Below are 13,350 nucleotides of genomic sequence, written 5' to 3' on the forward strand. Positions count from 1 at the left end.
TAGAAGGCTGTTACTTATATGAACTCTAAATCTGCTTTGCTTGTCCTAGTTTACCCATATTTCTCTCTGCTGCTGTTGTCCGTCATTTGACTTAGCTTTCCACCTCTTTTTTGCCACTTAGTCTTTATCATTTTTTTCCCCCACTTACTGCCCAACACATTTATCAAAAAGCTTTCTCTGGCAAAATTTCTTATAGTTCATTCCTTCAGTCTTTTAGCACATAGCTTAAATTGCTGTCTATTGAAATTTAGCATTTCTTATTCATTTTACATAGTTTCAACCTCCCTAATATTATAAACTACTTGAGTCATGTTCTTTTATATCTCACTAACTCAAAATAGACATCTTGTCACTAAGTTAGAATATATTTCTCTTGAATAATTTGCATGCACTTAAATTTTAAATTGGGAACATTTTCAGATACGTTCCTGTATCAGGGTGGTGTACATAGGTGCTCAGTAATGGACACTGTAGAATCTATAGAATTAATAGAAAAACTGCAGTGTTATTTTTTATAACATCACTACTTCCCTTTCTCAAGTGGCTTTGCCATTTCATTAAAATGCAAACCCTTGTAAACAAAACAAAAATATTTCTAGCAATATTTTTCTTGTATAGAATGTGCTTGTTAACGTTTCTTGATCTGTTTGTCCATCTGGCCATCTTTATGATGTAATGTGCATCAACCTCCTACTCTATGCCAAGCACTATGCTAGAGGTTTCTAATATATCATCTCATTTCATATTTATAAGCCCTAGTTGTTATCCCTATCTATTTAGAGTTAAGGAAATGTAGCTCAAGTGATTTCAAGAAATTTGCCCAAGATTACCTAGCCACAGGGGCAGAGCACAGCTAGTGGCTGAATCCAGGTGCTTTTTTTACTTCAACTATACTGTTTCAATTAAGTCACGTAAAAGATGCCTTATACTTCATAATAGGGTCTTTCATATGCTGTCTATGTAAATAATTACCATAAGCATGTGAGATAGATACATTTCTATCTTACAAATAAGGAAATTTAGTTTCAGAAAGATCAATTTACTCCAGATCCAAGTTCAGAAAATAGAACTAGGGATTAGGAAGAACCCACATATTTTGTTTCCGTACTTTTTCTGCTATATTATTAATGTGTTCTTATGCCTTTGAAGACCTCTAAAATCACACAGCTATCTCATTGAGACAACTTAACTTCCCTCTTTCCCCTGTTCTCGGCTATCTTAGTCTGCTTGAGCTGTCAAAATACCGTAGACTGTATGGCTTAAAGGACAGAAATTTATTTCTCCCAGTTCTGAAGGCTGGGAAGTCAAGATCAAGATGCTGTCAAGGTAGATTTCCTTTCGAAGCCTTTTCTCCTAGCTTGTGAGCAGCTGCCATGTCACTGTGTGCTCACATAACCACTTCTTTGTATGCATTTATACAGCAAGAACACAAGCTCTTGGTGTCTCTTATAAGGGAAGTAATCCCAAGAGACCGGGGCCTCACCCTCATGACTTCACCTAACCCCACTTACCTCTGTATTAGTTTGTTCTTACTCTGCTATAAAGAAATACCTGAGACTGGGTAATTTATAAAGAAAAGAGGTTTAATTGGCTCACAGTTCTACAGGCTGTACAGGAAGCAAGGCAGCATCTTTCCGGGGAAGCCTCAGGAAGCTTTTACTCATGGCAGAAGGCAAAGCTGGAGGGAGACACCTTATGTGGCTGAGCAGGAGGAAGAGAGAGAGAAGGGGGAGATGCTACACACTTTTAAACAGCCAGATCTCACGAGAACTCAGGACAGTACCAAGGGGAAAATCCACCCCCATGACCCAGTCACCTCCCACCATGTAATTCTCACCTCCGGCACCAGGGATTGCATTTCAACATGAGATTGAGGGGGGACACAGATCCAAACCATATCACTGTTCGAAAGCCCCATCTCCATATATTAATATTATCACATTGTGGGTTAGAGCTTTAACATATGAATCTGGGGGCATGGGACACAAACATACAGTCCATATGTTAGCTTACCATCAGAGTCCCTGACTATCTTTCATACGTGCTTGGGCTATTAGAGCTGAAAACCAGGGATTCAAAGATAGAGGAACTAGTTCAGAGTGGCTAATTGAGTGTTGTGGAGTAGATGGCATTGGAGACAAAGTAAGGAAATTCCAAAGAGATTGTATATAGGAAAGAACTTGATTCACTAAAAAGGCAAAGAAGCAAAGGGGCTGCTATAGGACCAGGATTTATATCAGCCACCAAGATATGAGGTATATGTTATTGTGACAGTGTTCATCTTGCAGCCTTGCCTAGTGTACTGTATAATCAAACTATAGCTTGTGCTAAGAACTCCCTAAAGATTAAATGAGTATTGTTCTCTCATTTGGTAAATTCTAATTTGAAACAAATGAAGATACCGCTGTATTTGCCAACATACTAACTTTAAATACTAAAATACATTTCACATGGGCAGTGGAGAACAGGGCTTTCTGAAAAATAGGCTTAAGTAGTAAAAGAAGCAGAGTTGGCTGGTACTGTGTTTGAAGAGAAATAGAAAGTTTTGACATACCCATTTTTGCCCTCAAAATGGAGGCTTGTAAGTGGAAGCTTATAAAACTTTTCTTGTCAAGAAAGAAAGGGCAGCTGATTGGTTTTATAAGCTTCCATTTACACCTAAGCTCTTTCCTGTTAATGAACTCTTGATGATGTAATGTGTCTTTCTCAGGATTGCTAATTAGCAAAAAAGTTTGAGCCAAACTTGTTTAATAATTGTTTCTCAGAACTTTATTTTCAGTTTTTTTGACAGATCACCATGATATATAACATAACATTGATTGTGTTACTGAAACATGTACATGTGCAGGAAAGGAAGTTAGAGATGAAATTTAGGAAGTGAGATACAGCCTCGTTCATAGAGACAGTATCCATTAAATAAAAAGTGAGAATTGCCATTGCCTCCCATATTACAAGTAGGAAAAACCCTCAAGTGTATATAATATTAATCTTTTACATGAACTCAGCTGCATGAGTATTCATTTTAGAAGATCTCCATGTTAGCTTTTTATAAAGAATTCCAAATTTGACCTCTAGAATCCTCCCAGAACCTTTATTAAAAACATATTTTAAAATTCTGGCAATAAGTCATTAACTAGTATTTTTGTGAAATACAGTTTTTGAATAGGTCCGTCTTGTGGAACTGACAACATTGTCCCAACTACAGTTATAGTAAGCTTATTTTAGAATTTAATACAACCCTCATCTTCTGCATGTACACATGTACCTCTTGTTCCCCCCTACATACACGTGCTGTATACAGAGGGCAGAAATTAAGGACTATCAGATTTAGGTGGCTGACCTTCAGCTCCAGTTAAGAACTAAAATTAGATCCTTGTGGAATATATATCCAGTGACGTTCATCACAGAAGAGTGTAGACATAACCTTGAGAGGCCAGGGAAACATCATCCATCCAAGGGAGCCTGCCTTAACTACAAAAATTCCTTTGACATCTCATTTTTTATCTTAACATTCATGTAAGTTATGTATTGTGATTTGTAATGCATTCATTTATTTTCATGTAGAAATCGCCTACCCCAAATAAATCTTTTAGTAAAATAGTGGTTAAAGAATATGTACCAAAATTACCCTATGACTTTAAGTATCCCTGGCACTGGGCCACATCTCCCAGATGAATGTGCATAACCTATTTTAAGATTAGGGTCTATCCCGTCACTATAGGAGTATACTGGTAGATTCAAGTGAGTATAATTCAAGCATGTGGCTAACACTGTAGCCATAATGGACAAAAAAGCAGGGAAGGAGGAGTCTATTCTATTATCTATTCTATTTTTTTAAAGAGAAAGTGGCAGACTATAGGGATAGGTATTTCACTGCCACTACAATATGAGAATTTTTTTTTTTTTTTTTTTTTTTTTTTAAGTAGAACCATGTTTAAGGATTTAGGTCTGTTTATTTAAGGAAAACAAAAATCTGTTCTTAGAAATTCCCTTCACTGGCCTGGTTTAGCCCAGAATTTCTTTTAATGTTAAGAACACTCATTTTTGTTTTAGTTCTTGTGTATCACTAGATACCAGTAAAAGAGAGTAGGACTGAGTCAAATAAGAATTTGAGTCCCCTTTTCTGCTGTAGCTTTCTCTGCTACCTTAAGCAAATCATTTAGCCTATCTGGGAGTCAGTTTTCATATCTATAAATCCTCTTGTCCTGAGTATGTTAATAGGTGTTATTTTTTGAAAGGGTTCTATGGTCAAAGTAAGGAAATATCAGTTTAAAAAAAATGAACAGGGCTGGGCACAGTGGCTCAAGCCTGCAATTCCAGCACTTTGGGAGGCAAAGGTGAGGGGATTGCTTAATTAAGGCTTGGAGTTTGAAACCAGCCTGGGCAGCATAGCAAGACCCTGTCTTTAAAAGTAAAAAAAAATAGCTGAACACAGTTAATTGGACCTCTATTCCTAGCTACTTGGGAGGGTGAGGCAGGAGGATCCTTTGAGCCCCGGAGTTCGAAGTTACAGTGAGCTGTGATCGTGCCATTGCTCTCCAGCCTGGGTGACAAGAGTGATGATACCCTGTCTCAAAAAAAAAAAAAAAAAAAAAAAGCAAGTTTCTTTTCCATAATACATGGGAGAATCTTTGGTAGTTTGATATGCCTTATAAGTTTCCCAAGCTTATTTGCCTACAAAACCCATTTTTATAGAATCTTTTGTACTGCTAGTGTTTGTTAATGGTAAGTGATCATTATAGTGCCTTCTAACTCTTAACATTCTGAAATTGGACACAGTTTGTTTGACTGTGCAGCTCGTTTCTAGACTGTAGTTATCCTAGGTTACTAACAAGTTGAACTCAATGCTTGTAATGTGTGTGTATCCTGCCATTTTTTCCAGCTGGTACTGGAAAGTTATTGCATTTTCCTGTTTCTTGTAAATAAAACAAACATTACTCCCTGTCTTTTGCAGTTTTTCACTTTCTCTGTGCCCCTTTGTTTCAGTGTATTCAATTATTGGCCCATTTTTATTCTAAATTAATCTATTCATCTTTATCTGAGTTTCACCAACTCATAGTAAAGATTTCTGAAACCCTCAGCCCATTAAATCCTTTTGAGAAACACTAATGTTGGAGAGAAAACTATGTCACTTCTACATGTGGACTTATTTCAATCAGAAAAACAAGCCACCTTTAAAATGTTGCTATTGGTTAAGATCTTTAATTATAGGTCTTGTTCTTAGAAATGCAAAATTTTAGCTCTTACTGTGTACCATCATTTCATTTAATAAAACAACATTGTCATAGAAGGAGTATTATCCCCGTTTTATAGGTAATGAAACTAAAGCTCAGAGAAACCTAATAACTTGTCCAGATCTCACAAATAATAAATAGCAGTCATATCCAACTTATATTCTCTATTATACCTTGTAGCTTCTTATTAAAACATATGATAATACTGTATGTGGCATGTGTGGTGTAGTTACAATGATAAGTAACATTTATTGACTAATTCTAGGGTAGCACATGCACATCATCTCATTTAATTCCCTCAACAACCCTATGAAGTAGGTACTTTTTTTTCCTTCCTTTCTTTCTTTTTTTTTTTTTGAGACAGAGTCTCGCTCTGTCGCCCAGGCTGGAGTGCAATGGCGTGATCTCTGCTCACTGCAGTCTCCGCCTCCTGGGCCCAAGCGATTCTCCTGCCCCAGCCTCATGAGTGGCTAGGATTACAGGCGCCCACTACCACGCCCATCTAATTTTTGTATTTTTAGTAGACATGGGGTTTCACCATGTTGGCCAGGCTGGTCTCGGAACTTCTGACCTCAAGTGATCCGCCCGCCTTGGCCTCCCAAAGTGCTGGGCGTGAGCCACCATGCCTAGGCTGAAGTAGGTACTATTATACCAGTTTTACAGGTAAGGAAGTAAATAAATTGGTCAGGTGGCAGCTGGGAATCAAATCCAGAGCTTTAATAACCTATTAAATGTTTGGAAATAATATTCTATAGCACACAGTGCTTTGAAGATGTCATACTTAGTATGTATGTTTGTAAATATTCAACATATTTGACAGCATCTTTGTGCATGTGGAAGAAGAGAAATATGTTAAACAGACCCTGCCCCCGCCAAAGCTGATAAAAGAGAGAACTCTCCATAAATATAATTCAAGGTCAGAGGTGTTAAGTGCTATAAAAGTGCTAGAGATTAAGTGTTCTGGATTTAGAGGTGGAAGGGATTACTTCCTGCTGGGGGATGGTGAAAAAGATAGCGTTTGATTTGAAGGGAGGAGTGATTCAAGAAGGTCAGGGGTTGGGAAGACGTTTTGAATCCAGGAAGTAACATGAGAAAAGGCACAGAAGTTTGGACAGGCATTAGAGAGTAGATTATTGTGCCTAGATCAAGGATATTGTGACAATAAGTAGTTGAATGTGAGTTTTAGAAAGGTGAGTTATGGGGGATCGGGCCCCTTCCTGGTTAATGTGTTTGGATGTGTTTTATTTCAGGTATCTACTATGGGACAGTTAAAGAGAAATGTCTACCAGGCAGCAACATTTTCTTTTTGCTGCCAGCTTTAGGAAGCAAGTCACCTATCTCAGAAGTAAAAGATACCACCAACAACCAAGTTATACAAGTTAGAAATCTATGAGGTTCCTTGCCTCCTCTTTCTTCTTCATTCTTGACCAATCATTCCACCAATCATTCAGTCAATTCTGCACCCTTAAAATCTTTCCTCTGCTGGGCGCCATGGCTCACTGCTGTAATCCCAACACTTTGGGAGGTGAGAAGATCACTTGAGTTCAGGAGATCAAGGCTGCAGTAAGTCATAATGGCACCACTGCACTCCAGCCTAGGTGACAGAGTGAGACCCTGTCTCAAACAACAACAACAAAAAAAACCCTGTAATTTTCCCAGTTTCATTACCACTGCCTTAGTTCAGACCTCCATCATCCCTCACTAGGATTACTGCAACAACCACTTAACTGCCCTGCTTCTGGTCCTGCTCCCCTTTTCTTGTTCATTTTCCACATTAACATCAGAGTAATATTTCCAAAATACAAATCTAATGTCATTATCCTGCTTAATACTCTGCAGTAAGTTCCCCATTTCCCTCTGGATTAATTCCAGACTCTTCATTCTTCTCATATAAACGTGGACTAGTATATTTTCTCTTTAAAAAAGAAAGAACAGCCTTTCTTGATCTTACATTCCCTCTTATTGCCAGCCCATTTCTCTGTTTGTCTTACAGCAACATCTTGAAAGGTATCTACTTCTCTCTCTCTTTTTCACCTCCCAGTTACTCTTCAGAAACTGTTTTTTTGTGTTTGGTTTTTTTCTTTTCTTTTTGAGATGGAGTTTTGCTCTTGTTGCCCAGGCTGGAGTGCAATGGTGCGATCTCGGCTCACAGCAAACTCCACCTCCCGGGTTCAAGCGACTCTTCTGCCTCAGCCTCCCAAGTAACTGGGATTACAGGCATGTGCCTCCATGCCCGGCTAATTGTAATTTTAGTAGAGACGGGGTTTCTCCACGTTGGCCAGGCTGGCCTCGAACTCCCGACCTCAGGTGATCCGCCCACCTCGGCCTCCCAAAGTGCTGGGAGTACAGGCATGAGCCACTGTGCCTGTCCCCAGAAACTGTTTTTATCAAGGCCATTTGTGCTCTAGCATTGCCAGGTCTTAATGCTATTTGATCTTTCATCTGCATTTCAAACAGCTGACCATTCCCTACATAAAATATTTTCTGCCATCTTGTGTTCCAGAACACCACACTCCTAAATTTCCTCTTGCTAATACCTCTTTACCTCCTTTATCAGTTTTTCTTCCCCACAGCCACTGAGTGGTGGCATCTTTCATGGCTTTTAGTCCCCCTTTTCTCTATATATTTTTCTCTAGGCAATCTCATTTACTTTTGTAACTTAAGAATGCCTTTATTGCCGGCGCAATGGCTCACGCCTGTAATCCCAGCACTTTGGGAGGCTGAGGTGGGTGGATCATGAGGTCAGGAGTTGGAGACCAGCCTGACCAACCTGGTGAAACCCCGTCTCTACTAAAAATACAAAAATTAGCTGGGCCTGGTGGTGCGCGCGTGTAATCCCAGCTACTTGAGAGGCTGAGACAGGGGAATTGCTTGAACCCGGGAGGCGGAGATTGCACGCGCCAAGATCATGCCATTGCACTCCATCCTAGGCAAGAGTGAGCCTCCATCTCAAAAATAAATAAATAAATAAAAGAATGCCCTTATTCATATAGAAAGCATAGATAACCCTGATGGCTGCTTAGGGCTCCAGCCACATACATTCAGCTTCCTATTTGACATCTCTAGTTATCACAAACTTAATGTGACCTTACAGAATTTTCCCCCAAACCTGTTCTTTCCTCAGTCATCCCCTTCTCAATAAATGGTACTATGTTGGCTTAAGCCAGAAACTTCCCTCTCCCCCACAAATAGTAAGTCCTGTCAATTTTCCCTCTAAAATACACACCAAATCCATTCGCTTGTCTCCCTCTCCGCTGCTACCACTCTAGTTGAAACTATGTTTGTTCCAGTCCAACCCATTTTGATTCTGTATGGTACAGATTCTGTATGGTACATCAATGGGATACCATATTTCAAAGCTGTATTATATTTAGGTTAAAGCTAAGTTGTTTTAACAAGGGGACCTCAAGATAGAAGTGGTTTACAAAATATGAGTGTTTATTACCTTTTCAAGTAATAGTTCTGAGATAATCATTCAGGCAGTGAATGGCTCTGCTTTATGAATTTATTCAGGGGCCTGTTTCCTTTCAAGTCGTCAAGTCATGCTTCACCTTCTGAGCATTGTCTTAACCTAGGCTGGACTGCCACTTTCAGGTTTTAGGCTATAGAAGGGGATAAGACAGTGGAGAAGTCATACCCACTGTCTTCAAGAGCCAGACCTGGAAATGGCATAGATCGTGTCTATACACTTTCATTCTAGTGGCAAGAGCTCCATCATATAGCAGTGAAGAACAACTGGGGAATATGGTGTAGCTAGGTAGCCATGGGCCTTGCCACAGTTGTTACTGCATGAGAAAAGGACAGTGAGTTTTGGTGGACAGCTATCAGTTTCCATCACAGTGTCTAACAATTAAACTGTTAGATGAGCCTACAGTCAGCCCTCTGTATCCATAGATTCAACCAACAGAATTCAAAAATATTTAGGGGAGGCTGGGCACTGTAGCTCATGCCTGTAATCCCAGCACTTTGGGAGGCCAAGGCTGGCAGATCACCTGAGGTCAGGAGTTCGAGACCAGCCTGGCCAACATGGTTAAACCCCATCTCTACTAAAATACAAAAATTAGTGGGGTGTGGTGGCACGTGTCTGTAATCCCAGCTACTCAGGAGGCTGGGGCAGGAGAATCGCTTGAACCTGGGAGGCGGAGGTTGCAGTGAGCTGAGATCGCACCACTGTACTCCAGCCTGGGCAAAAGAGCGAGACTCTGTCTCAAAAAAAAAAAAAAAAATTAGGGGAAAAAACCTCCCAAAACAATGATATAACAGTAAAAAATACAAATAAAAAATACAGTATAACAATTTACATAGCATTTATGTTGTATTGGGTATTATAAGTAGTCTAGAGGTGATTTAAAGTATATGGGAGGTTGTGCAAAGGTTATATGCAAGTACTATACCACTTTATATTAGGGACTTGAGCATCTGTGGATTTCAGTATCTATGGAGGTCCTGGAACTAGCCTTCTGAGGACACTGAGGGACAACTATATTTATGAAACTTTATGTTATTTATTTATTACTCTGGTATCTCAGTTTTGCTACCTTATATGGTTGAAGAAAACTTACAAAGGATAAGAAATGTGGTCTAGAACAGTGCTTCTCAAATTATTTGAGATGAAGGATCAAGGTCTTTTCTTGTTTGTTTTTCCCTAATTTGCAGTAGGCCAATACTTTTCTAAAATATAATAAAAATTAATCACTAAAAGAAATAATCATCAAATTACTATGAAAGTTTCTAAATGCATACTCTTTTTTTATGCCTGTCTCACCTTATGTACCTATCTCAACATGATCTAGCAACAAGGAGCTGGTGAATTGGCACTAATCAATGGACAATTCTTCTAAGTAGCACTTGCCTCAAAAGTGTTTTCTAATAACCTATTTTGGATTCCCAGAGTCTAGTAGATGAACTGTGGTATCAATCTTTTAAACAAAGACATTTTCTTTATGTATAAAATATAAAACTTTTAATTTTTTAATAGTTTTAGAAATCACCTCTTAAGATAGTATATAAATCTTGATAGATCGTTTGAATGCCCACATATGCTTCATAGCCTATTTTGTTTCATAGCTAAAGCCAAAGATGATCCTTGTTTTATTGATTCAGAGTGAAAAAAAAGCCTACTATTCTGGAGCTCAAAGAAGGTTGTCTTAGAGGGCATTTAGTTTTAATGCACGGTGTGGAGGGAAAAAAAGGCCTAATAAAGTGACATGCTCAAAATCACAATAAATCGGAGACAGCTATGGTATGATCATAATTTACAGTGGAAATTACATTGGAATCAGATGATCCGGATTGAGTCCTGATCTTTTATTTCTTAGCCAAGTGGCTCCAGGCAATCATTTAACGTTTTAAGAATTGTGTGGTGGGACCGGGCATGGTGGCTCAGGCCTGTAATCCCAGCACTTTGGGAGGCCGAGGTGGGAGGATCACCTGAGGTCAGGAGTTTGAGACCAGCCTGGCCAACATGGCGAAACCCCATCTCTACTGAAAATACAAAAATTAGCAGGCGTGGTGGTGTGTGTCTGTAATCCCAGCTATTCAGGAGGCTGAGACAGGAGAATCACTTGAACTCCGAAGGCGGAGGTTACAGTGAGCCGAGATTGTGCCACTGCACTTCAGCCTGGGAGACAGAGAAGACTCTTGTCTCAAAAAAAAAAAAAAAAAAAAAAAGAATTGTGCAGTAAGTGTTCAGTAAGCATTTCTTAGATTGAGAAACATAAAAGTTTTTTGTAAACTGTAAAGCACATAAGCAAAAAATATTACAGGTTACACATCCCAAATCCCCAAACCTGAAATCTCCAAAATTTGAAACAAAAAAAAAATTTATGGATACGTAATAATTCTACATATTTATGGGGTACATGTGATACTTTGACACAAGTGTACACAATGTATAATGATCAAATCAGGGTAATTGGGGTATCCATCCTCTCAAACTTTTAAAATTTCTTTGTGTTAGGAACATTCCAATTCTGTTCTTCTAGTTCTTTTGAAATATATAATAAATTATTGGTAACTGTAATTGACCTGTTGGGCTACTGAACACTAGATCTTATTCCTTCTAATGGTATTTTTGTACCCATTAACCAACCCCTCCATATCCACCACAAAGCCACTTCTACTATCACTTCTTAGGAAGAAATAAAACATATTTATTATTTATTATTTATTATTTATTTCTTAGGAAAAAATAAAACATAATAGTAGTCACCATTAAAGAGTGCTTATTATGTCCCAGCGTCTATTTTATAACATCCCTGTGAGATATGGATGTTATTTCCTTTTTTTTTTTTTTGATCCTCCCACCTCAGCCTCCTAAAGTGCTAGGATTATAGGCATGAGTGACCATGCCCAGCCTCCCATTTTTTAAAAATGGGAAACTGAGGTTAAGAAGTGTCTAAATCATACAGCTGGTAAAAAAAAAAAAAAAGAAAGAAAAGAAAGTCACACAGTGGCAAACCCAGGTATTAAACTCCGGTCTTTGATTTAAAAGCCACTACAATACGTTTTCTTCGTAAAAAAGATGTCCCTTCCGCCTTCAGAGAGCTTTTAGTAGTTGAGGCAAACTCATAAAAAGAAAACTGACAGGACGGATGTGCTAAGCACCAAATGATTGCTACAGATTTGTGGTTTAGGTATCCCTTAGAAAAGAAGAATGTTGAGGGCTGAAGTGGTTAGGGAAAATTTTATGTTGAAAGTGGGTTTTAAGCTTAGCCTTCGAGAATTGCTAAAACTTAAATAGAAAAGGAAAAGGACTGATGTGTAGAGGGAGGCTGTAAAAAAGCAAAGAAGCTCAATATGAGATAATTTGGAAAGAAATATAGCTAAAGAGGAAAATTTGATAAGAATAGTATGAAAGAAGACTCAGAGCAGGTTAGCAGATCTTAAGTGCCAAACTGAGGACTTTGACATTTTACCTTATAATAATGTATAACAGATAACCTGTACTGAACATTTATCACTTGCCAGGCACTGCCCTATGTGTTTGTACATGCACGATCTCATTTAATTCTTGCAGTAAATGAGGTCCAGAGACAAGTAACTTGCCAAGGCCACAATTGTTCAGAAGAAGAGCCAAGATTTGCATACAAACAATTTAAATTCAGAACTTCTACTCTTAATTACCACACTGATTTGGTTTTAGAGTCTATGGTGGGTTGAACAAATTTCAAGCCCAGGATCACTGACCTTAAACAAGTAATATGCCTCACACCTTTGGCAGTTTTTAACATTTTAGTTAAGAAACGTAATGTGACAATAGAAACTGACATCTCATTCCTGTCCCTGCCACCCTTACACATCTTTAGCACATGGCAGTGAAGGAGAAGTCAAGGTAATGTGCTAATGGTTTTCAAGTCTGCCTGCTTTTCTGTGTTCGTCTGGTCAGGTATTCTCAGTTAACCCTTGACCCTAACGTCCGAATTATGTCACTCTGTTGTTAATCATAGTTCAGTGATTCTCACATTGTGGATTCTGGACCAGCAGTAGCATCAACTAGGAATTTGTTAAAAGTCCCATTTCTGGACCCTCATCCCAGACCTACTGAGTCAGAAACTCTAGGGATGAGGTGCAACAGTCTGTTTTTTAAAAGTCCTTTAGGTGATTATGATGCATGATGAAGTTTGAGAACCACCTTTAGAGTCCACTCTAGGATTTCAGTTCGGGAGCAAACTACTAAAAAGTTTTTGGCAATCCTTGATGGGTAGATGTAGTGGCAGGGCATACCATGCTGAAGGAACAGTGGAGGAAAGACTCAGGATGTATCATGGTCAGGGTCTGGGGGTCAATTTGGAACACCTGAAGAAGAAACTGTGTGTGTTTGCATTGTGTGTATCAGACAACAGTAGGAAAGGGGAAATTGGGCCCATTTCAGCAGCATTCTGTGGGCAGCAGGAAGGTATGAAAGGTGTTTGAGGAGAGCAGAGCATGTTTTAGGAAGAGTAAAATCAACTTAAATAGTTATAGCACAGAAAAGTACTGACAGGGCAAAATAAAGGGGAAATACAAGAGCACCTTTGAAACATGGAAGCAGTACACAAACTCAACAGATAGAAGAGCTACAAAGAATGCTGCCTTTTCAACCACTTTTATTTGTTTCTAATAATATTCTTTAAAT

General features: G+C 38.8%; 1 protein-coding gene across 24 annotated transcripts in view; it reads left to right on the plus strand.

Moving 5' to 3' along the window:
* Positions 1-13,350, plus strand: part of RIC8B (RIC8 guanine nucleotide exchange factor B) — a 114,635-nt gene that overhangs the window by 23,960 nt on the left and 77,325 nt on the right. The window lies entirely within an intron of this gene.

This window comes from Homo sapiens, chromosome 12, assembly GCF_000001405.40.
Source record: "Homo sapiens chromosome 12, GRCh38.p14 Primary Assembly".
Lineage (NCBI taxonomy): Eukaryota > Metazoa > Chordata > Mammalia > Primates > Hominidae > Homo > Homo sapiens.